The sequence below is a fragment of the Homo sapiens genome, chromosome 7, assembly GCF_000001405.40.
Source record: "Homo sapiens chromosome 7, GRCh38.p14 Primary Assembly".
Lineage (NCBI taxonomy): Eukaryota > Metazoa > Chordata > Mammalia > Primates > Hominidae > Homo > Homo sapiens.
In genome coordinates, this window is record NC_000007.14 from 140,255,991 (window position 1) to 140,281,460 (window position 25,470).

A 25,470-nucleotide genomic window follows, 5' to 3' on the forward strand; every position below is an offset into this window, starting at 1 on the left:
TAGGATTACAGGTAATGCGCCAGCACGCCCGGCTAATTTTATATTTTTAGTAGAGATAGGGTTTCTCCATGTTGGTCGGGCTGGTTTTGAACTCCCGACCTCACGTGATCTGCCTGCCTTGGCCTCCCAAAGTGCTGGGATTACAGGCGTGAACCACTGTGCCCAGCCCAATTTCTATTTTTCTTTTTCTTTTTTTTTGAGACGGAGTCTCGCTCTGTCACCCAGGCTGGAGTGCAGTGGTGCGATCTCTGCTCACTGCAAGCTCCTCCTCCCAGGTTCACGTCATTTTCCCACCTCAGTCTCCAGAGTAGCTGGGACTACAGGCGCCCGCCACCATGCCTGGCTAATTTTTTTTGTATTTTTAGTAGAGACAGGGTTTCACCATGTCAGCCAGGATGGTCTCGATCTCCTGACCTCGTGATCCGTCCGCCTCGGCCTCCCAAAGTGCTGGGATTACAGGTGTGAGCCACCACGCCCGGCCCCAATTTCTGTTTTTTACATAGTCAAATTTATCAACATTTTTTATGGCTTATGGGTTTTGTTTTGGTTTTCTGAACTCTCTGCTCCTGTTCTTTTATCTAGTACTCCATATTCTGGAGTAAGGCAGAGTCCTTTCATATTTACCTGTATTTCCCTTACACTGCATTTCGGTCACCTTTATTGGTTTCCCAAAAACCAGCACCAGTAATAATAGCTACCAACCATTGTGTCTAGGCATTGTACTACTCATTGAGTATCAATGAGTATAAAGAGCTTTATATTCAGTATCTTTCATCTTCTCAGTAGCTCTGCAAGGTAGATGATATTCTGTCCATTTTACAGATGAGGAAAGTATGGCCCAAAGAAGTTACATAAGTGGCCAGGCACAGTGGCTCATGCCTGTAAACCCAGCACTTTGGGAGGCCAAGGTGGAAGGACCACTTGAGCCCAAGAGTTGGAGACCTGCCTGAGTAACATTGTGAGACCCTGTCTCTATTTTATAAAAGTTTATTTTAAAATTTATATATATATATATAATTTGTATATATATATATATATTCACATTGACTTTTAAAAGAAACTATGTTAGTGGTTTTGAAAAATATTCCACATTCTGGATTTTTCTGATTGTTTTCTTGTAGTGCCATTTAACTTGTCCCTCTATGTCTTTATTTCCTCTAAACAGGTTTCTCAACAGGGGTCCCTCATGTGAACTACAGAATATAGAAAGATTGAATGACTAATTATACTAGAACCATTCAAGATGCATAGGAGAGAACTCAGTTTGTTACACACAGGAGATTCCTTAAAGAACTAAAAGTAAGACTATCATTAGATCCAGCAATCCCACTACTGGGTATCTACCCAGAGGAAAAGAAGTCATTATACGAAAAAGATACTTTCACATGCATGTTTATAGCAGCACAATTTGCAATTGCAAAAATGTGGAACTAACTCAAATGCCCATTAATCAATGAGTAGATAAAGAAACTGTGGTATATCTATACAATGGAATACTACTCAGCCATTAAAAGGAAAGAATTAATGGCATTTACAACGACCTGGATGAGATTGGAGACTATTATTCTAAGTGATATAACTCAGGAATGGAAAATCAAACATCGTATTTTCTCACTCATAAGTGGGAGCTAAGCTATGAGGATGCAAAGGCATAAGAATGACACAATGGATTTGGGGGACTCAGGGAAAGAGTAGGAAGGGGGTGAAGGATAAAAGACTACAAATTGGGTGCATTGTGTACTGCTTGGGTTATGTGTGCACCAAAATCTCACAAATCACCACTACAGGACTTACTCATGTAACCAAACACCACCTGTTCTCCAATAACCTATAGAAACAAAAAATTTAAAACAAAGAAAAACTTTCTAATAACCACATTTAAAAAGTAAAAAGAAAAAAATTGTTACACACAAAGGATGCAGTGATGGTTAATTTTATGTGTCAACATTAATTTAATTAAAGTTAATGTCAAACATTATTCAGGATATGTCTTTGAGGGTGTTTCTGGGTGACAATGACATTTAAATCTGTAGACTGATTAAAGCAGACACCCTCCCTAATTAATGATGGGGGAGCCTCAACCGGTCAGTTGATGGCCTGAATAGGACAAAAGGGCTGACCCTCCTGAGAGTAAGAGTGAATTTCTCCTGCCTGAGTCAGACTGGAACTACACCATTGGCTCTTCTGGGTCTCCAGCTTGCCAACTGCAGATCTTGGGACTTCTCAGCCTCCATAATCACATGAACCAATTCCTTAAAATAAATCTCTTTCTCTCTATATACATACATCCTATTAGTTCTGTTTCTCTGAAGAAATGATTAATACAGATGTCTTGGGGCATCAGGCTTTATTTCTCTCCCAGACCATGACTGAGAAATTAAGGTGATCAGGCCGGGTACAGTGGCTCACACCTGTAATACCAGCACTTTGGGAGGCCATGGCAGGCAGATCACTTGAGGCCAGGAGTTCGAGACCAGCCTGGCCAACCTGGTGAAACTCCGGCTCTACTAAAAATACAGAATTAGCCGGGTGTGGTGGCAGACGCTTGTAGTCCCAGCTACTCGGGAAGCTGAGGCAGGAGAATCCCTTGAGCCCCGGAGGTGGAGAGGTGGAGGCTGCAGTGAGCCGAGATTGCACCCCTGCACTCCAGCCTGGGCGACAGAGTGAGACTCTGTCTCAAAAAAAAAAAAAAAAGGAAGAAAGAGATTAAGGTCAACATTATTTGGGGCAGGAACATTTCACATTGCATGACATCGGGAATCCCCATAATGTCTTGTAGACCCTCTGTTAATGATGCTAAATTTAGTCACTTGATTGTAGATTTTTATTTCATAAAGTAACTATTTTCCTCTGTGAATTAGCAAGTAATTTTGCAGGGCGATATTTTGGCACCATGCAAATACCCTCTGTCTCAGCTACTTTTCACCTAATGGTCTTGCTACTCACTGAGGATCCCTGCCTGAATCAATTATTTCATTGCTTGCCCTCCCAGCAACTGAAACTTAAAAAAGCTTAGCCCTCATAAGGCTATAGCCCCCTTTTTTTTTTTTTGGAGACGAAGTCTCACTCTGTCACTTAGGCTGGAGTGCAGTGGCGTGATCTTGGCTCATGGCAACCTCTGCCTCCTAGGTTCAAGCAATTCTCCTGCCTTGGCTTCCCGAGTAGCTGGGATTACAGGCATGCGCCACTATGCCTGGCTAATTTTTGTATTTTTAGTAGAGACAGGGGTTCTCCATGTTGGCCAGGCTGGTCTTGAACTCCTGACCTCAGGTGATCCGCCTGCCTCGGCCTCCCAAAGTGCTGGGACTATAGGCATGAGCACCTGGCCAGCTATAGCCTTGTGTGTGTGTGTGTGTATATATAAATCAGTATATGTTAAGCTATAGCACATGAATAGCTTAATATATAATAACTAATATATGCAGTAGAACAAAGCTAAATCTCTTCCCCTTAGAAGCTTTCTCTTTCCTACACATTCTCTAACCTAACCTCTCAGTCTGTGGAGAGCAGTCCTGGCTGGAAGGTTCCCTGGTGCCAGGAGAACACTTGTTATCCTTGGTTGTGGTGCCCAAAAGCAAGGATCAGAACCATTTGCAGGTGGGAGAGGAAGTCCCAAGGTGAAATCAAACAAACTAAATAAATATATCTGAAATCGTAGCCGACTATGTTGAAGAAAATACCTGATGCTGAGGCTAAGATCCCAGCAGGTATCAGAGAATCAGGGAAGGCAAGATGGAGAACACCTGGCAGGTTCTAGGAAAAGACTTGGAGGAGGGGCTTCTCTGTTCTCCTAGCAAATGCTTTTTGGAGTGGAGTGAGGTCAGGGAGAAGGGACAAGGGGCTGTCCCATGGGCCAGGTTTATTGGAAGGAGTGGGAGAAACCAAATGATGCCTGAGGGTCCAGTATCTAGGAGTGGAACAGGTTAAGGTCACACCAAGCTCCAGTCAAGCAGAGAGGAGGGTTGAGGTTGGAAGCCAGGGAAGGTCATCAGTTCTCACAGCAGGTAGGAGGAACTGGGCAAGAACAGGGGAGAACCACTGGAGGTACCCACAGAGCCAAGCAGTGCACAAGGAGGGAAACCCAGGAGTATCCGGGAAAGCCCAGCTTCTGCGCGCAGGTCAGGAAGGAGGCAGGGCTGCTACAGGGGTTCCCAAGAGGGTCAGGGCCCCCAACACTCCATCCCACCTCTCCCCCGCTGCCCACACCAACACTGGGAGCTGCAGGAACTCAGGGAGTGCATTTGCTGCAGCTTGTGAGAATAAGGGCAGCAGAGCCTGACTCTGCTCTCAGGTATCCCACTTCACTCGTTCCCCTGCAAGGGCCACTCTCCTGGCCTCCTAGTAAGGGCGGTCGGAGCCTCCTGCAGCGTTTCCCCATTACCTTAGCGTTTCAGCACCTGGAAGAGATCAGCATCGCTGGCAAAGCTGCAGAGCTCATTGTGCACTTCCTCTTCAATCTGAGTTGTAAAACTATATATATATATTGAATGAGATCAGTTCCAGCACTTTCCCTAGAGATCCACGTAAAATCGACAGAGAAGTGTCCATCACTACCCTGGGGTTTCCTGTTTTGAACCTGACCTGTTCTTGGCAGACACTCCACCCTCGTCTCATCACACTGAAAGGCTTGGACAGACTTAACCCTCTTGCTTCCTCCTCTCTCCTGTCCTGTTCCCTGCCCTGGACAAATGGGTCAGACTCAGTCCTCTGGGGACAGGTGAGGCAGGAGAGGTGGCCAAGCCACTTTTTAGCCACACCCCTTGCTTTGGTCTCTGTAATATCCCCCCCCCCCCCCCGCCCTTTTCTTTACTAGGTGACATTTCATGCAAGGCAGGAGACCATCCCCTTTATTTTGGGGGTGGAGCAAAAATGCAGGCCATCTGGACAAAAGCTTTCCCTGGTGTTTTCAGAAACAGGGAAATCCTGAATGTGGGCTGTGGATTACAAAGAGCTATCAGATCAAGTTCAGAAGTAAACACTTGGCCCGGCCTGGACTATTCAGGAAAACAATGGGAGAAAAGGGTCATTGAATGGGAGGTGGATAATAAAGCTCTATAACTGCCTCTAGAACACTGGCTAGGGGGTTATACATTCGTTTTTCTCTGCATCGTTAAGTCATGACTCTATCCTGACCACAGGCTATAGACTGACTTGTGTTCCTCCAAAATTCATATGTTGAAGCCTGTATTATCTGTTCTTGCACTGCTATGGAGAAATACCTGAGACTAGGTAATTTATAAAGAAAAGAGGTTTAATTGGCTCGCAGTTCCCCAGGCTATACAGGAAGCATGGCAGCTTCCACTTCTGGGGAGGCCTCAGGAAGCTTCCAATCATGGCGGAAGTCAAAGAGGAAGCCAGCACTTCACATGGCTGGTGCAGGAGGAAGAAAGAGAGGGGGATATTCATGAGAACTCACTATCCCGACGACAGCACCAAAGGAGATGGTGCTAAACCATTCATGAGAAACCACCCCCGTGATCCAGTCACCTCCCACCAGGTCCTGCCTCCAACGTTGAGGATTATACTTTGACAGTATATTTAGGGGTGGACACAGATCCAAACTGTTTCAAAGCCCTAACCCCCGATGTGACTGTATTTGGAGACAGGATCTAAAGGAGCTAACAAAGGTTAGATGAGGTCAGAATAATGGGACCCTGATCTGATAGGATTAGTGTTCTCATAAGAAGAGACACCAGAGAGTGCTGACTCTCTCCACTCCTCTCTCTTTCTCTCTCTCTCTCTGCCATGTGGGGACACAGCAAGAAGGCAGCTGTCTACAAGCCAGGAAGAAAACAAACCACAAACTGAACTGGCTGGCATCTTGATCTTGGACCTCCCAGCCTCCAAAACTGTGAGAAATTTCTGCTGTTTAAGCCACCAGGTCTGTGTATTTTGTTAGGGCAGCCCACATAGCCTAAGATACCACATAAGAATATATGGGTGGGGCTGGGCAAGGCGGCTCACGCCTGTAATCCCAACACTTTGGGAGGCTAAGGTGGACGATCACCTGAGGTCAGGAGTCCGGGACAAGCCTGGCCAACATGGTGAAACCCCGTCTCTACTAAAAATACAAAAATTAGCGAGGTGTTGTGGCACATGCCTGTAATCCCAGCCACTTGGGAGGCTGAGGCAGGAGAATCACTTGAACCTGGGAGATGGAGGTTGCAGTGAGCCAAGATCGCACCACTGTACTCCAGCCTGGGCAAGAGAGAGAAAGACTCTGTGTCAATAATAATAATAATAATAATAATAATAATAATAATAATACTTGTTTGGGCCTGGTGTGGTAGCTCACACCTGTAATCCCAGCATTTGGGGAGGCTGAGGCAGGAGGATCGCTTGAAGCCAGGAGTTTGAAACCAGCCTGGCCAACATAGCAAGACCCCATCTCTACAAATAAAATAAATTGGCTGGGTATGGAGTTGCACAGCTGTAGTCCCAGCTACTCGGGAGACTGAGGTGGGATGATCATGCAAGCCCAGAAGTTCAAGGATGCAGTGAGCTGCGATCTGTGGTTGCACCACTACACTCCAGCCTGGACACAGTGCAAGACCCTATCTCTAAAAACAAACAAGCAAACAAACAAAACCGGCCGAAGCAATATAGCAAGACCCTGTGTCTACGTTTCAAAAAATTAGCCAAGCAGGGTGGTGCATACCTGTAGTCCCAGCTACTTGTAGGGCTGAAGTAGGAGGTTTGCTTGAGCCCAGCAGGTTGAGGCTGCAGTGAGTCATGTTCACACCAATGCACTCCAGTCTGGGTGACACAGTGAGATGCTGTCTCAAAAATAAGTAAAAAAAAAAAAAAGGAAAGACAGAGAGAGAGAGAGAGAAAGAAAGAGAGAGGAAGGAAGGAAGAAAGAAAGGGGAAAAGAAGACTTGTTTATCCTAAAGTCCACTTGTAACCAAACTGCTTCAGGTCACGGGTCATAATTCCACGCGCCTCCAGTTGCCAATACAGGTATCCCTCACTTTAAGGAAGCTTCTTCACTAAATCCTAATGATGAACATTGCTAGCCAGCAACCCTCCCCAGCTTCTGAGGCACAGACCCCGGCCCCTGACTACAGGGTGTACACATGATCCCAAGATACCTGATACCATTAAATGGTTGCAACGAAAAAAACAGGCATAGCAAGACCACTGGGTGTCTACTCCAATATTCATTTGCATCCTATTCCTTTTTCACAGAACTCCGATTTTTTTTTTATCATGGTAAAATTCACACATAACAAAATTCACTATTTTAACCCATTTAAAGCATTCAGCATTTAGTGTATTCACAAGGCTGTGCAACCACCACCTCTGTCTAGCTTCAGAACTTGTCACCCATAGAACCTTGATTTTATTATTTAAGACTTAATTTCTCAATCCCCCTTGCAGCCAGGTATAGCTTTGTGATTAGGCTTGTGATTAAGTAGGAGTGTTCCTCGTACTTCCGCTTACGTTTTACTGGCTAGAAAGCTCCTTGCAAGGAAGTGGTCACCCTTTCATCCTCTCCTGTTTCGTCTGTTGACAAAGAGACGTGATGATGGGGTTTCTGGCAGCCCTTGTGGACTATGAAGTAAGTATTTGTAAGGCTGAGGACAGCAGGATGGAAAGAAAGGAACCGAGGTCCCCATAACATATGGAGCCAGCTCTGGATTTCTTTTACATGAGAAATAAAGAAACTACTTGTTTAAGCCATTGGTATTTGGGGAGTTTTCTATCCTATGCAGCTAGACCCCATTCCAACTTCATCAAGGAGGATAGCCATCTTTAAAAATGACCCCTTCAGGATTCCTTGAAATATCAGGCTCCAGTGGTTGGTCCATGGGTTGGATTGGGGAGCTGGCTAGGTTGGGTCTCACACTCAGTGTAATCAGTTCAGGCATCAGATCAGTTCATGTTCGGTGGGATCAGATGGCACGTGGATGATCCTCCTAGACTTGAGCCCAGGGACCCTCTGAACACACTGGCTCCAGGACAGCCGGCGGCCTAACGGGGCAATGAGGCACCTAGTCTAAGACATGAGCCCAGCCATGTTTGGGGTAGGAACTGGCAAATATTGGGTGCTGGGGGTCAATCTGTTCCTAACAAGGAGATGACTCTATTGATCCCTGCAACAGAACATTGCTGGGTCCCACAGGGCCTGACCCACCAGCCTTAGGGCCCCCCTTACCCCCGGCTCTCAGGAGGTAAAATCCTAACAGCTATCATGTTTTGGAAACCTATTATGTTAAGGTATTTTTCTGCTTTACATGTAACGTCATGTCATCCTGGCAACAATTCTGTAAGGAGATCCATTTTACAGATGAGGAATGAAGCTCATAGAAATTTAATAGCTTGCCCACAGTCATACAACTTGGGTGTGGCAGAGATGGCTTTGAACACAGGTCGGTCTCCTCTACATTTTTGTCTCTTCCCCCTCCATCCGGCTGCCTCCTTCCTCCCACACAGAAACCAAGGTCAACTGCTAGGGAATGACAGTGATGCCAGGAGGCCTGGAGCTCATGCAAATAACCAGGGAGTCCTGCTCGGGGAGGTTCCCCTTCTTCTTCTGCTATACCCAGGCTACAAGAATTCCAGGGGGTCCCTTAAGCAATCAAAGCAGCAAAACAGCACTTGGTCCTTGTCCCAGTTACCTATTGCTGTGTCGCAAACCACCCCAGAATGAAGTGGCTTACAACAGCCGCTGTTTTATTTCGCTCCCAGCTCTGGGCTCCACTGGGTCGTTTTCTGCTGGCCTTGCTGGTGTTCGCCCATGGGCTGGCATTCATCTGGGGCCTGGCTCAGCTGGAGGGAAGCTGAAATGCTGGATGGGCCTTTCCAGCACTTTCTCTAGGAGGCTAGCCAGACTCCTTTCCAGGCAATGCAGGGGTCCCAAGACTGTGAAAGCAGAATGGGACCCCGTCCTAACTTAAACAGGGGTGCAGGAGGGGGACTGCCACTTAAAAAAACAATTCCTTCTGGATGTTCTTCAGCTGCTTGTCTAGGGGCCTAATGGAGAAGCTGGCCTCCTTGGGGTTTCACCCTGTGTGGTCAGTATAGGTGTTCTGAAGGAGGAGCTCCTGCTGCCACACTGCTGATTAAAGCCGGTCATCAGCCCAGTCCAGATTCACAGAAGCGTGTGACTCCCAGGACATGTGGCTTCTTGGAGAGCACCAAGGTTCCCAGTCCTACCCATGATCTAGGTGACGTTTCATACAAGATGAATGTCTTTTGTGTTGTTGCTGCTGGAGATCAGTCTCCGGTCTCATTGGTTGGGTGGATTTCCATTTGGTGTGATCCTTCTGACGTTACCTATTGTCTGTCTCCTAGTGACCACTAGAGCCCCCTCCCATGGCTGCTGGGCCCACCCCTCAGTGCCATGTGCATGTCCACCCTCAGTTACATATGGCACCCTGGGTTGGCTCCTATAATCCTCACAACAATGTTATGAGGTCGGAACTATCATCTCCTTTTCAGCGATGAGGAAGCTGAAGCATAGAGCTATTGAGCGATTTGCCCAGGTAGTGGCTTCAGACTTTGCGCCCTTAACCACTAAGCTCTACGGTCTGGTGCTGTCACACTGGGCATGATGGAAACCCTAAAGATACAAGGGTGGAAGGGAAGGAAGAAGCCTGGGTCTCTTCCAGGCATGTGCATAGTATAAAAGGCACCAGGTCAGGGCTGGGAAAGAGGAAAGTCAGATCAGGCACACTCCAAACCCAGAAGGTAGCAAAATGAGGGAGTGTTGGGAGAAAACACAGGGCTGTCACCTGAATTGCGGGTGGCACTATAGAACTGGATTTTTATTTTTATTTTTTATTGAGACAGGGTCTTGCTCCATCACCCAAGCTGGAGTGCAGTGGTACGATCTTGGCTTGCTGCACCCTTGACCTCCCAGGCAGATGAGCCTCAGCCTCCCAAGTAGCTGGGACCACAGGTGTGCACCACCATGCCCAGCTAACTTTTGTATTTTTTGTAGAGACGGGGTTTCGCCATGTTCCCCAGGCTGGTCTCAAACTTCTGGCTCAAGGGATCCACTCGCCTTCACCTCTCAAAGTGCTGGGATTATAGGCATGAGCCACTGCATCCGGCCTGAACTGGATTTTTTTTTTTTTTTTTTTTTGAGACGCAGTTTTGTTCTTGTTGCCCAGGCTGGAGTGCAATGGTGCAGCGACTGCAACCTCCGCCTCCTGGGTTCAAGCGATTCTCCTGCCTCAGGCTCCCAAGTAGCTGGGATTACAGGCGCCCACCACCACGCCTGGCTAATTTTTGTATTTTTAGTAGAGATGGGGTTTCACCATGTTGGCCAGGCTGGTCTCGAACTCCTGACTTCATGATCCGCCCTCCTCAGCCTCCCAAAGTGTTAGGATTATGGGCGCAAGCCACTGCACCGGGCCCTGAACTGGATTTAAAAAAAAAAAGATAAAACAGAACTTAGGCCAAAATTCCATACAGTGAATAAATACAGGCCAGGCGCGGTGGCTCTCGCCTGTAATCCCAGCACTTTGGGAGGCCGAGGTCTCCTGACCACTCCTGATACAGTGGATCACCTGAGGTCAGGAGTTCAAGACCAGCTTGGCCAACATGGTGAAACTCCGTCTCTACTAAAAATACAAAAAATTAGCCGGGTGTGATGGTGCATGCCTGTAATCCCAGCTACTCGGGAGGCTGAAGCAGGAGAATCACTTGAACCTAGGAGGTGGAGGTTGTGATGAGCCAAGATCTCGCCATTGCACTCCAGCCTGGGCAACAAGAGCGAAACTCTGTCTCAAAAAAAAAAGAAAAAGAAAAGAAAAAAATACAAATCCCCCTCCCACTGCTGTTCGCCCCTCCACCGCCGCCGCAGCTCCACTACACATTAGCAAGCATGATTTACGCATGGCAGTCAGAGCATACACAGCACATACATGCTCACCGCATTTATTCAACGGGCTCATCTCAGTGTGGTATAATCAGGGTACAGCTTTATCTTCTACTCGCGGCAGGATCTGTCTGATTTGCCTGCTCTGCTCCTTGATGACATTGACTAAGGGAGATTCCATCACTTTCACACTAACTTTCAGTTTTGAGAAATGTCCCCACATTGAAAAAGTTCAATTCAAAGTATATCAAAACTTTGGCTCAGCACGGTGGCTCATACCTGTAATGCCAGCACTTTGGGAGGCCCAGGCGGGCAGATTATTTGAGGTCAGGAATTCCAGACCAGCCTGGCCAACATGGTGAAACCCTGTCTCTACTATAAATACAAAAAATTAGCCGGGTGTGGTGGCATGAGCCTGTAATTCCAGCTACTCGAGAGGCTGAGGCAGGAGAACCGCATGAACCTGGGAGGCGGAGGTTGCAGTGAGCTGAGATTGTGCCACTGCACTCCAGCCTGGGAGACAAAGCAAGACTCCATCTCAAAAAAAAAAAAAAAAAAAAAAAAAAAAGATCAGTCCTATTGGATTAGGACCCACCCTAAAACCTTATTTAAATGTAATTGTCTCTTTAAAGACCTTATCTCTAACCACAGTCACATTCTGAGGTTCCGGGGCTTAAGACTTCAACATACGAATTGGGGAGGGAGGATCCCAATTCAGCCCATCAGTCTCACCCTTTTGGAAACTGGGCGGGATTTCTGGAGCACCCCCTGAGGGCTCTGCATAGCACCATGCCTGGGTGGCTCTCTCTCAGCTCCAGGACCCCCACCCTGGCAGCCCTGGGGCAGCTACACCCCATGGCACACACTGGGCCCAGGAGGAAGCTCAGCTCCATCGTCCCCACCCATCTGGGCCCACCTCTGCCCTCAGTCACCTCCATGCCAAGGGCAGACTCCAGTCGCCCTGCGATCCTGCCTTCCACAAAGCGAGACTCCATCTCGCTTGTGGGAAACACTCCACAAGCCCCCAGGAACTTTTTCCTGCAGCACCAAGACTTGAGACTCAGACACTTACTAACAGCCAGCCAGGGTGGAAAATTCTGGGCTCCCTTCCTGATGTACACCCCTGCTCTTTGTGACTGGATCTCATGAAGCCCTTATCTCTCAGCTGCAGGGAGGCCAAGCCCTCCCCAAGCCCACGAGGGGGAGAAAGCACCATTTTTCCCCTAATGAATCTCTGGCCTCCCTTTCTAGAGGCAGGCGGTAGGTGATGGGAGAGCGTTGCTGGAGAGGTTGGCTGCCTTTTAGGAAGTCTGCTGATATGATTTGGCTGTGTCCCCACCCAAATCTCATCTTAAATTGTAGCTCCAATAATTCCCACATGTTGTGGAAGGGACCTAGTGGGAGATAATTGAAGCGGGGGGCAGTTTCCCCCATACTGTTCTCATGGTAGTTAATAAGTCTCACGAGATCTGATAGTTTTATAAGGGGAAACCCCTTTTGCTTGGTTCTCACTCCCTCTTTGCCCCCCACCATGTGAGATGTGCCTTTTGCCTTTCACCATGTTGTGAGGCCTCCCTAGCCACGTGGTACTGTGAATCCATTGAACCTCTTTCCTTTATAAATTACCCAGTCTAGGCCGGGCGCGGCGGCTCACTCCTGTAATCCCAGCACTTTGGGAGGCTGAGGCGGGCAGATCACCTGAGGTCAGGAGTTCGAGACCATCCTGGCCAATATGGAGAAACCCTGTCTCTACTAAAAATACAAAATTAGCCAGGCGTGGTGGCGTGCACCTGTAAGCCCAGCTACTCGGGAGGCTGAGGCAGGAGAATCGCTTGAACCCAGGAGGAGGTTGTGGTGAGCCAAGATCACGCCATTGCACTCCAGCTTGGGCAACAGGAGCGAAACTCCGTCTCAAAAAAAATAATAATAATAAATAAATACATAAAATAAAAATAAATTACCCAGTCTAGGCCTGGCATGGTGGCTGACGCCTATAATCCCAGCACTTTGGGAGGCCAAGGCAGGCAGATCATGAGGTCAGGAGTTTGAGACCAGTCCGACCAACATGGAGAAACCCCATCTCTACTAAAAATACAAAATAAGCCGGGTGTGGTGGCACATGCCTGTAATTCCAGCTACTCGAGAGGCTGAGGCAGGAGAATCATTTGAACCCAGGAGGCAGAGGTTGCAGTGAGCCAAGATGGTGCCATTGCACTCCAGCCTAAGCAACAAGAGCAAAACTCTGTCTCAAAAAAAAAAAAATTACCCAGTCTCAGGTATGTCTTTATCAGGCGTGTGAAAACAGACTAATACATCCACCAAGGACGGATCTAGAGTCTCTCCTTAGGAAGTGTGGGTGTTTATCTCTTATTGTCTTTCTTTGGGGGACGCTGCTGAAAATTCAAGACCACATCCTATCACATGTGTCTGTATACTTTCTGTTTTTAAAAAGTCTTACATAGTAGCACACTATTCTACATCTCAAATGTGTTCCTTTAACTCTATGTTGGAGATTATCTCAGATTAAGACACGGCTGCCAATCTTCGTGCCTTCAGTGTTTCATCATATTGATGTCCAGGGTTTCTTTAACCAATCCTCTATTAGTTGTTTCCAAACTTTGGCTAGTGTCAACAACACTGCAACAAATATTGATTAATCAATGGAGAATTTTTCTATGTGTATATCTGTATACCATCATGCCCAACTGACTTTTTTTTTTTGTAGAAAAAGAAAACATCCAGCGATGTTGATTTCTTAAATGTGGTACTAGCCTGTAAATGGATAGACAACTCAATGGAATAAACTGGTGCACAATTTGCATTCTCATCAGCAAGGTTTGAAACTACCTGTTTTCCCATATCTTTACCAACACACCAACAAAGCATTATCAAACTTTGCCAAACTGATAGGCAAAAAATACAGTACATCACTGTACTTTATTTTCTCTTTTTAATCTTTTTTTAAAAAAATTTCCCCACCTTCAGGCCTCTCATTGTACTTTTTATTTTTATTTTTTGTGACTCAGTCTCACTCTGTCGCTAGGGCTGAGTGCAGTGGGCAGTGGCGCGATTCTCAGCTCACTGAACCTCCGCCTCCTGGGTTCAAGCAATTCTCCTACCTCAGCCTCCCGAGTAGCTGGGATTACAGGCATGCGCCACCACACCCAGCTAATTTTTGTATTTTTAGTGGAGCTGGGGTTTCACCAGGTTGGCCAGGCTGGTCTCAAACTCCTGACCTCAAGTAATCCGCCCACCTTGGCCTCCCAAAGTGCTGGGATTACAGGCGTGAGCCACCAAGCCGGGCCTTCTCATTGTACTTTAAATTGTCATTCTGTGCATTCTGAGTTAAGTCAGGTATCCTTCCACATGTTTAAGGCGCATGCACGTTTCCAAAAAAGGCAGTTAGATAATTTAGTTAGGTGGTTAGGATCGTGGACTCTAGAGCTACTAGAACGGCTGGGTTTGAATCTCAGCTTCACTGCTTAACAGCTATGAATGTCAGCAAATGACCCACCCTGTCTATGCCTGATTTCTCTTGGGGACAATAACAGTACGTACCCTATGGAGTTGCGGAGAGGATTAACTATGTTACTTAAGGCAATTCTAGAAGACTACCTAGGGCAATGGAAAAGTGCTATGTAGTGTAGGTATTAGTGTTACCCTTTTTTTTTTTCTATTAAGATATAGACCTGCAGGAGTTAGTATACAGGTATTAGGAATATTAGTCTTTTGTCTGTGTTGTGGATTATAAGCACATTTTCCAACACTGCCTTTTGACTTTGTTTTTACCTAAATTGACTTTTTTTTATTGTGGTACAATATATAAAACATAAGACTTACTGTGTCCAGAATTGGTGGGTTCTTGGTCTCACTGACTTCAAGAATGAAGCCGCGGCCCCTCACGGTTGAGTGTTACAGTTCTTAAAGGCCGCGTGTCTGGAGTTTGCTCCATCTGAGGTTCGGATGTGTTTGGAGTTTCTTCATTCCGGTGGGTTTGTGGTCTGGCTGGATCAGGAGTGAAGCTGCAGACCTTCACGGTGAGTGTTACAGCTCATAAAGGCAGTGTGGACCCAAACAGTGATCAGCAGCAAGATTTATTGCAAAAAACGAAAGAACAAAATTTCCACAGTACAGAAGGAGACCCAAACAAGTTGCCGCTGTTGGCTGGGGTAGCCTGCTTTTATTCCCTTATCTGGCCCCACCCACATCCTGCTGATTGGTCCATTTTACAGAGAGCCGATTGGTCTGTTTTGACAGGGTGCTAATTGGTGCTTTTACAATCCCTGAGCTAGACACAAAACTTCTCCACCTCCCCACTAGATTAGCTAAATACAGAGTGTCCATTGGTGTATTTACAAACCCTGAGCTAGACACAGAGTGCTGATTGGTGTATTTACAATCCCTTAGCTAGACATAAAGATTCTCCAAGTCCCCACCAGACTCAGGAGGCTAGCTGGCTTCATCCAGTGGATCCCGCACCCGGGTCGCAGGTGGAGCTGCTTGCCAGTCCTGTGCAGTGCACCCGCACTCCACAGCCCTTGGGTGGTCGATGGAACTGGGCGCCGTGGAGCAGGGGGCGGTGCTCGTCGGGGAGGCTGGGGCCGCGCAGGAGCCCATGGCTGGAGGGCGCTGAGGCTCAGGCATGGCGGGCTGCAGGTCCCGATCCCTGCCCTGCGGGGAGGCCGCTAAGGCCCGGCGAGAAGTCGAGCACAGCAGCTGCTGGCCCAGGTGCTAAGCCCCTCACTGCCCCGGGCCTGCGGGGCCGGCCGGCCCCTCCGAGTGCGGGGCCCGCCGAGCCCACGCCCACCCAGAACTGGCGCTGGCCCGCAAGCGCCAGGCGCAGCCCCGGTTCCCACCCACGCCTCTCCCTCCACACCTCCCTGCAAGCTGAGGGAGCCGGCTCCAGCCTTGGCCAGCCCAGAAAGGGGCTCCCACAGTGCAGCGGTGGGCTGAAGGGCTTCTCAAGCGCGGCCAGAGTGGGCGCCAAGGCCGAGGAGGCGCGGAGAGTGAGGGAGGGCTGCAAGGGCTGCCGGCACGCTGTCACCTCTCATTACCAGAAATCATTTTTAGGTGTACAGTTCAGTGGAATTACAGTGTTTAGAGGCATGTTTTTGTGTGTGTGTTGTCAAAATTTTCACGCCTGTAATCCCAGCACTTTGGGAGGCCAAGGCGGGTGGATCACCTAAGGTTAGGAGTTCGAGACCAGCCTGACCAACATGCAGAAATCCCTCTCTACTAAAAATACAAAAAAATTAGGTGGGCGTGGTGGTGCATGCCTGTAATCCTGGCTGCTCAGGAGGCTGAGACAGGAGAATCGCTTGAACCTGGGAGGCGGAGTTTGTGGTGAGCCGAGATCGCACCACTGCACTCCAGCCTGGGCAACAAGAGTGAGACTCGGTCTCAAAAAAAAAAAAATTCAACCTTTTATTTTATGATTTCTGGGTTTGACATTGTTTTAAAGGCCTTTCCACTATATGATTTTTTAATCTCCCATATTTTACTACTGCTTTTATGGTTTCCATTTTGGCATTTTAATATCAATGAATCTGTATCTTATTTTAGCTGAGGATGTGAAGAAGAGATTCGATTTTCTTTCTGGATGGGTAGCCAGAAGTCTCAATGCCATTAATTGAATAGTGTCATTCCAAGTGTCTAGCCCATTTTATAAACTAATACCCTGCTTAGAAACGAAATTCCTGTATATATTTAGGTCTATTCTGGAACTTTGGATTTATTCCATTGAGTTGTCTATCCATTTACAGGCTAGTACCACATTTTAAAAATCAACATGGCTGGGTGTTTTCTTTCTCTACAAAAAAAAAAAAAAATCAGCTGGACATGATGGTGTACTCCTTTAGTCCCAGCTACACAGGAGGCTGAGGCAGGAGGATCGCTTGAGCCCAAGATGTCGAGGCTGCAGTGAGCAGTGTTCCCACCACAGCTTTCCAGCCTGGGTGACAAAGCAAGACCCTGTCTCTATTAAATAAAAGTAATAAAATAAAGGCCAGGCACAGTGGCTCACACTTGTAATCTCAGCACTTTGGGTGGCTGAGGTGGAAGGACTGCTTGAGGCCAGGAATTCGTGACCAGTCTGGGCAACAAAGTGAGATCCTGACTATACAAAAAAATTAAAAAACTTAGCCAGGCATGGTGACATGCGTCTGTGGCCCAGCTACACAGGAGGCTGAGGCAGGAGGATTGCTTGAGCCCAGGAGGTCGAGGCTGTAGTGAGCTGTGTTTGCACCACTGCACTCCAGCCTGGACAACAGAGTGAGACCCTGGCTCAAACATAAAATAAAATACAAAATAAAATAAAGTAGTAAAATAACATAAAATCCATGTAACTTTAAAAGTTGTTCAAATACCTGGTAGAGTTAGTCTCTTATCATTGCTCTTCTGGTTCGAAAGTTCCTGGTTATTTGTTTTTCCATATAAACTTTAGAATCAGTTTGTTGAATTAAAAAGGTTCCTACTGATTTGGGTGGGAGTGGGGAGTTTTGGCCCTGCTTAAAGGATGAAGTCCAGTCCCATCTGCTGAGGTTGTAGGTGTCTTGAAGGGTCCCTCTCCCAACTCTTGCTGCTGCCCAGCTCATGTCCAGCTCAGTCACAGAAGGTGCGGGGCAGCCAGGACCTCCAATCCATCCATCTGAGATGGATGCTGTACCCTCTAAGCAGCCTCAGACCCCTACATGGGTGGTAGCTGGGGTCAGCACAGCTATAGGGGTGGCCATAGCCACAGCCAGGTGAAGCCTCAGCCGCTGCAGTCCTGACCAGGGAAGCTGGAGGCCCTGCCTGGTGCACAGGGCTGTGGGCCCCCCTGGGGGAAGGCGGTGAGACCTGAGGGCAGACCATACCCATGCCGCAGGCCTCAGGCACGAGTTCCTTCCGTATTTCCAGGGCCCACTGAGTCCATCCCCAGGCGCCATGCCAGATGCACTCCTCTTTCCAAATGGTGGAGCTTCCCAGGGTGACACACCAAAACCAGATGGCACGCTTTCTTTCTTTTTATGCTTAGATTTTTTTTTTCTGGTGTTAAAATAACACATGATCCAAATGAAAACATGATATATATATATAAGAAAATTAAAATTACCAAAAATGTCTGACCCAGAAATAAATGAGTAAAAGTTTTGTGTATTCTTTCCAGTTTATTTTTCTTTTCTTTCTTTTTTTTTTGTTTTTTTTTGTTTGAGACAGAGTTTCGTTCTTGCTGCCCAGGCTGGAGTGCAATGGCGTGATCTCGGCTCACTGCAACCTCCACCTCCTGGGTTCAACCAATTCTCCTGCCTCAGCCTCCCGAGTAGCTGGGATTACAGGCACACACCACCACGTCCTGCTAATTTTTTGTATTTTTAGTAGAAACAGGGTTTCATCATGTTAGCAGGCTCGTCTCGAACTCCTGACCTCAGGTGATCTGCTTGCCTTGGCCTCCCAAAGCGCTGGGATTACAGGCATGAGCCACTGTGCCCGGTTCTCTTCCTGGATTTCTTTATATCTGGATGTTAAATGTCCAGATTGATATGTTTCTCAAATCTTCCATCCCCCCTATTCCCATTGTTGTATTAACTTGTTTCCCTCTTTATTAACAAAATCGAGTAGCTTTTCATATTTAATTAACTGGCCATTTATCTTCTGATTTTTTTTATTAAGTTGAAATTTTATGTAAAACAACTGACTATAAACAAATAACTTGTCAGTATATTATTACATTTAAAAGGATGCCAGACTGGGTGTGGTGGCTCACACCTGTAGTTCCAACACTTTGGGAGGTCAAGGTGGATGAATAGCTTGAGCTCAGGAGTTCAAGACTAGCCTGGGCAACATGGCAAAACCCCATCTCTACAAAAAATACAAAAATTAGCCAGACATAGTGGTGCACACCTGTGGTCCCAGCTACATGGGAGGCTGAGGCAGGAGGATCACTTGAGCCCAGGAGGTCAGGGCTGCAGTGAGCCATGTTTACACCACTGCAACCCCGCCTGAGTGACAGAGCGAGACCCTGTCTCAAAAAAAAAAAAAAAAAAAAAAAAAAAAAGGTCAACTTTGACCCAGATTTATATATTGGTACCTTGCATTATATAGACTCCACAGCATTTCGTACAAAGCTCAGCAAATAATAGTAGTTGCTAAATATCTTTGTTGAATAAATCTTCAACTCACAGGTTCCTTCTAAATCTTAATCTAGTACTTCCTCCAGGGTTAAACAGTAAATGACTTTCTTTAGCTCTTTATTCTAGAAAAATTTTAAATACTATTTGTTGAATATTTACTACTTGTCCCTGCTCCAAACTGTTTAGATGTGGTGATTTAATCCTTACAACAATACTAGGAGATAGGTCCTCTCGTCATCTGCATTTTACAGATAAGAAAACTTATCTGAACATTTAAGTGGCTGAGCTGAACTTTAGCGCCTATACTTTAACTATTGTGCTAGGTCCCTCTTTAGCTGGTTCAGTTCACGCACCGATTCTGATCCATTTATAGTTCTTCGGCACACATTGTTGAGAAGAATTCTGGGGCAGTATCTAGGCTCCATAAGAAAAAAAAAAAAGAAACTCTGCCTCGATTAATGATGTCTGCCATATATGCGCAGGAATGGGGAGGTGGGAGTTACTTCTTTTTTTTTTTTTTTTAACTCTGCTGAATCATTCCTTGGAGAAAAATTATCTCTGGGGTTATATACAGCTCTAACGCCTTCTAAATTGGGGCATGTTGACATCTGAAGTGTTTAAAGCCTGCTTTGTTTCCTAGCTGTAGTAGAATTCTTTAACTGCCTGTTTATAATTTATCTGAGAGAAACACTGGTAATTAGGCATCTGAGCATTCCTCCAATTCCCTAGTTTCTTCCTTTTCCTGTGGTAAAAACAGAAAGTCAGAAAAATAATCACATTGCATCATGATACCAGTGGGCTGTATAAAAAGCCCCGTGATGTTATTTTTCCGATCATTGCTTTCCTCACAGGCAGCATTTAGACCATGCCAAATACCCCTCCCATCAGATGGTTAGAAATGGCCATACAGTCGGTCTCTTTACTAACCTTTCTACATCCCAAACAGTTTTACAACTTGGCTTCAGCTGCAGGGCAGCCCAGCTTTTAAAGGAATTAGATCCTTTTCCCAGAATCTCCATTAAAGAGAACTTAACACAGCTTTAGGAGAAAGAGATATAAAGTGATTTTCTCCAATCTCTACCCACTTTTCCAAGTGCTCTTTTATCTTACATTCAGAACCAATCTATTCATTTAGAATCGTTCTATGAGGTGTTCAGTATACACTTTCCCATCCTTTAAACATTTTTTTCTCAGCTAAAGTAATATACGTATATTGAGAATTCCTGGGATGGCTGTTATCTCCTCTAACTACAAAGCAGGAAACCAGATGGAGAAGAAAAATCACTGAGAAATCTCACATTGTCCTGATTACCTCCGGCCGAGAAAGAGAAAAGTTATTTGGGAGGTCAGCTGTCATAAGCCAACAGGGTTTTGAAGGAGTCATGTCAAGATGAAACCCCACGACACCAGGATAGGGTGGGGGTTCTGTCCCTACCCCAGGCTCCTATATCAGTTTCTTTTCTTTTTTGGCGGGGGACAGAGTCTCACTCTGTCACCCAGGCTGGAATGCAGTGGTGTGATCTCAGTTCACTGCAATCTCTGCCTCTGGGGTTCAAGCAATTCTCGTGCCTCAGCCTCCCGAGTAACTGGAATTACAGGCGTGCGCCACTACGCCGGGGTAATTTTTGTATTTCTAGTAGAGACAGGGTTTCGTCACATTGGCCAGGCTGGTCTTGAACTCCTGACTTCAAGAGATCCTCCTGCCTCAACCTCCCAAAGTGCTGGGATTATGGGCATGAGCCACCATACCTGGCCTGTATCAGTTTCTTAAAGGAGCACCTCTGGCCCTTGATGAGGCCTCCCTCTTGGCCTCATGGTCATCAGCAGACATCCAGATGAGGTCCAGCATTGTAGTGAGCACCTTGCAGATGGTGAGCTGCTCAGACCATGCCCACTTTGGTGTATTCGGGACTCTTAGCTATTCCCAAAGCACCCGCTATCAGGCCAGATAAAGGTAACCTCTGGCTGCCTTCTGCATAGGAAGGCAGGAGCCCCCAGTACTGCAGTTCACGCGGGCTCCTAGAGAACTTTCTGAGGGACACCTAGCAACGTGCCTCTGGACAGCCACCCTGTCCAGAACCTTCCCCATGAGGGTACACAGTCTGCTGCCCCTGGGAAGGAACAGCATCTCATCTTTTTTTGGATGCCGCACTGGCTAGGATGTTTTCTGGCCCATGATCACTAGAAATGTTTGCCTGTAAGAGACCAAGCTCCAGGAACCCCCTGCTGCTTGCTGTATCTCACTATCTACAACATTCAAGCTTGACCCCAGGAAGTCCTCTTTTGACAGAAAACCGAATACCGCATGTTCTCATTTGTAAGTGGGAGTGAAATGGTAACTCATGAACAGAAAGAAGGGAACAACAGGCTGGGTGCAGTGGCTCACACCTGTAATCCCAGCACTTTGGGAGGCCGAGGCAGGTGGATCACCTGAGGTCAGGAGTTCAAGACCAGCCTGGCCAAATGGCGAAACCCTGTCTCTACTAAAAATACAAAAATAAGCCAAGTGTGGTGGCGCACACCTGTAATCCCAGCTACTCGGGGAGCTGAGGCACGAGAATCACTTGAACCTGGGAGGCGGAGGTTGCAGTGAGCTGCGGTCACACCACTGCACTCCAGCCTGGGCAATAGAGCAAGACTCTGTCTCAAAAAAAAAAAAGAGGGAACAACAGACACTGGGTCTACTTGAGGTTGCAGGAGAGAGGAGGGGGAGGAGCAGAAAAGCTAACTACTGGGTACCAGGTTTAGTACCTGGGTGATGAAATAATCTGTACAACCAACGCCCATGACATGAGTTCACCTGTGTAACAAACCTTCACATGTACCCCTGAACCTAAAATAAAAGTTTAAAAGAAAAAAAGTCCTCTCCTGCATATGCCCCACACACCTGCGGGTGGTGACATCCCCTGCTGTGATCTTGGTACACAAGGCAAACCCATAGCCAAATGTGTCCAACCTGAATTTCTTTCCTAAGCCCAGTCACTGGATGTTCCCTTTTTTGCCATTGCTTACTTTTATTTTTGTTATTGTGAAGTCGTATATGTATATAAAACATATAAACAGGTTTAAAAAAACAAATTCAACCCTTATGTACTCATAACCCAGGCTATAAAATATAACATTAGTAAAAACCTTAGGCATCTCTATTAGATTGCTAGGGTTAGCCAATATCAAGGTACAGTATCACAAACTGAGGGGCTTAAAACAACAGAAATGTATTCTCTCACAGTTTGGGGGCTATCTGAAATCATGGTATCGGCAGGGCCATGCTCTCTTTGTTTTTTGGGTTGTTTTGTTTGTTTGTTTGTTTTTTGAGACAGAGTCTGGCTCTGTCGCCCAGGCTGGAGTGCAATGGCATGATCACAGCTCACTGCAACCTCTGCCTCCCAGTTCAAGCAATTCTCCTGCCTCAGCCTCCCAAGTAGCTGGGGACTACAGGCATATGCCACCACGCCCCTGGCTAATTTTTGTATTTTCTGGTGGAGACAGGGCTTCACCATGTTGCCCAGGCTGGTCTCAAACTCCTGACTTCAGGTGATCCACCTGCCTTGGCCTCCCAGAGTACTGGGATTACAGATATGAGCCACTGTGCCTGGCCAGGGCCGTGTTCTCTTTGAAGGCTCTTAGGGAGAGTCCTTCCTTAACTTTTCCTAACTTCTGATGACAGCCAACAATCCTTGTTGTTCCTAGGCTTGTAACTACATCACTCTAATCTCTGCCTCCATTGTCAGAGGGCCTTCTACCCTGTGTATCTATATCCAAATCTCCCTGTCCTTTCTCTTATAAAGACAACAGCTACACTGGATTTAGGGCCCACCTTAATCTAATCAGCATGATTTCATCTTGTTTTGATTACATCTGCAAAGACTCTATTTCCAAATAAAGTCACATTCACAAGTACTGTAGTGATAACAGTTTGGATCTGTGTCCTCCCTGCTAAATCGCATGACCAGTTGAAGTGTCCATTGTTGGAGGTGGGACCTGGTGGGAGGTGATAGGATCACGGAGGCAGATTTCTCATGAATGGTTTAGCACCATCCTCTTGGTGCTGTCCTCATAATAGTGAGTGAATTCTCGCAAGATCTGGTCATTTAAAAGTGTGTGGCACCCCCACCCCCACTCTTTCTCTGGCTCCTGCCTTCCCATGTGATGCCCCTGCTCCCCGTTCACCTTCCGCCATGACTGGAAGATCCCTGAGGCCTCCCCAGAAGCAGATGCTGCTATGCTTCCTGTACAGCCTGCAGAACTGTGAGCCAATTAATCTCTTTTCTTTATAAATTATCCACTCTCAGGCCAGGTGCAGTGGTTCACGCCTGTAATCCCAGCACTCTGGGAGGCCGAGGTGGGTGGATCATTTGAGGTCAGGAGTTCAAGACCAGCCTGGCCAACACGGTAAAACCCCTTCTCTACAAAAATACAAAAATTAGCCCGGCATGGTGGCCTCTGCCTCTAATCCCAGCTCCTTGGGAGGCTGAGGCAGGAGAATTGCTTGAACCTAGGAGACAGAGGTTGCAGTGAGCTGAGATAGCGCCACTGCACTCCAGCCTGGGCAACAGAGCGAGACTCTGTCTCAAATAAATAAATAAATGAATAGCCCAGTCTCAGGTATTTCTTTATAGCAACTCAAGAACAGCCTAATACACGGGGCTTAGGACTTGACTATATCTTTGCGGGGGGGGGCACAATTCAACCTGCTGCAGATTCCCATGTGTGTTCTTCCTAAATGACATCTCCCTTTCTTCCCAAAGAGGTAACCACTTGGGTTACTTTTGTGTTAATCATTTTCTTACTTTTGAAACAGGTTTTTTTGTTTGTTTGTTTTGTTTTTTAATCACCTGACTATATATACGTAACCAAACATTGCTGAGTTTTGAAAAGCTGGGTATGAAGCACAAGGCCAGCTGAATAAGGTCAGGGCTTCACTGTCACTTCGAGATGAAGGCTTCCAGGATGAGATATTCCCATGGGGTCTCAGGTCATAAAATGGCTGAGCTTCCCCGACAGTGTTCAGAGCCCCTTCTGAGAAAGACAGTGGATATACCAAGGGCTATCCAGGGAAACCCAGGGCTCACTTGGATTAGGGCACCTATGTAGACAAGACATTGGGCCCGCCGAAGGGTGAGGGTTGGGTAAGTGCACTGCATTTGTTTATGTGGTTTGGGTCAGCAGCATCCAAGATGGCCTCCAGGGCTCCCTACTTCTCAACTTTCCCCCATCTTCAGAGGTCCCTTGTGCTGCCTGTTCCTGTACCTCTTGAGGATTCAGCAGGGTAAATGACATTGGTACTTTGCTCCTCACACTGGCCAATTATGACTCAGTTTCCCAGGTCTGCCCTTTCATCCTCCTTATGGGTTTGCATATTATCTTTTAAATCCCTTTGCTGTAGTTTTAGTGGGATTTCATTAAGAATAAGTTAGATGGGCCAGGCACGGTGGCTCATGCCTGTAATCCCAGCACTATGGGAGGTCAAGGTGGGTGGATCACCTGAGGTCTGGAGTTCAAGACCAGCCTGACCAACATGGTGAAACCCACTCTCTACTAAAACTACAACAATTAGCCAGATGCAGTGGCACACACCTGTAGTCCCAGTTACTCAGGAGACTGAGGCTGGAGAATCACTTGAACCTGGGAAGGGGAGGTTGTAGTGAGCTGAGATCGTACCACTGCCCTCCAGCCTGGGCAACAGAGCAAGACTCCATCTCCCTGCCAAAAAGAAAAGAATAAGTTAGATGCATGTGTTCAACCCACCATCTTCACCTGCAACCCTTTCTCTTGGTCCTACTTTCCATGGAGCTGTGTTGTTAAGATTCCTTTATTCACTCATTTGCCAAATAATTCCTGAGCTCCTGATGTCTGCGATGCTGAGACATCAAGAGGAATGAGGCTCTCTCAGCCTGCGAGTAGCTTACACTCTAGTAGGGAAGACAGACAAGGAAATAGGTCTTCACAATATAGGCAAGGATCTCCTGATGACTGTTGAGAAGGCTGAGCCCTGGAGGATGCGAAGGAGTGAGACGGGGATGGGAAGTCAATGGGACAGGGGCTCTGGGTCAATATCTCAAGCCCGGAAAGATGAGTTAATTATTGAAGGAAACAATATTAAGCATTGTTATCAAATTCAGATTGCCACTTTGATTCCAAAGACCCAGGAAGGATAAAGCCTTAAGGCAACTGGGGGGCCATCAGCTCTCAGAGGGTGATGGAAGCCTTGGCTGGGGGAGCACATCCAGGAAAAGTGTGGTAGTGAAGGACATGCTGGCCAAGGACTAGGAGAGACAACAGCAGCACCTGTGGGCTAAGCACAGTCTCCCCAAGGAGACTGAGGAGCAGAGCTGGCAAGGGAGGGGGATGGTGTATACAATGATGGCCACCACGAAGCTTTCAAAAAGTCCAGGCTTTCAAAAGGAACACAGAAACCAATACTGCATGATTCCACCTAGAGTTGTCACATTCATGGAAACACACAGTAGAATGATGCTTGCCAGGGACTGGGGGAGGGGAGGGGAGGCATTGTTTAATGGGTACAGAGTT

At 46.9% G+C, this 25,470-nt stretch overlaps 2 annotated features.

Moving 5' to 3' along the window:
• Positions 9,063 to 9,254: a silencer, noted in NCBI's record as "fragment chr7:139964853-139965044 (GRCh37/hg19 assembly coordinates)". NCBI's record gives its function as "represses an EF-1alpha promoter that drives an FKBP-Casp9 reporter gene in an ReSE screen in HepG2 liver carcinoma cells {active_cell/tissue: HepG2}" and the evidence as "EXISTENCE:reporter gene assay evidence [ECO:0000049][PMID:32094911]".
• Positions 17,256 to 17,551: a silencer, noted in NCBI's record as "fragment chr7:139973046-139973341 (GRCh37/hg19 assembly coordinates)". NCBI's record gives its function as "represses an EF-1alpha promoter that drives an FKBP-Casp9 reporter gene in an ReSE screen in HepG2 liver carcinoma cells {active_cell/tissue: HepG2}" and the evidence as "EXISTENCE:reporter gene assay evidence [ECO:0000049][PMID:32094911]".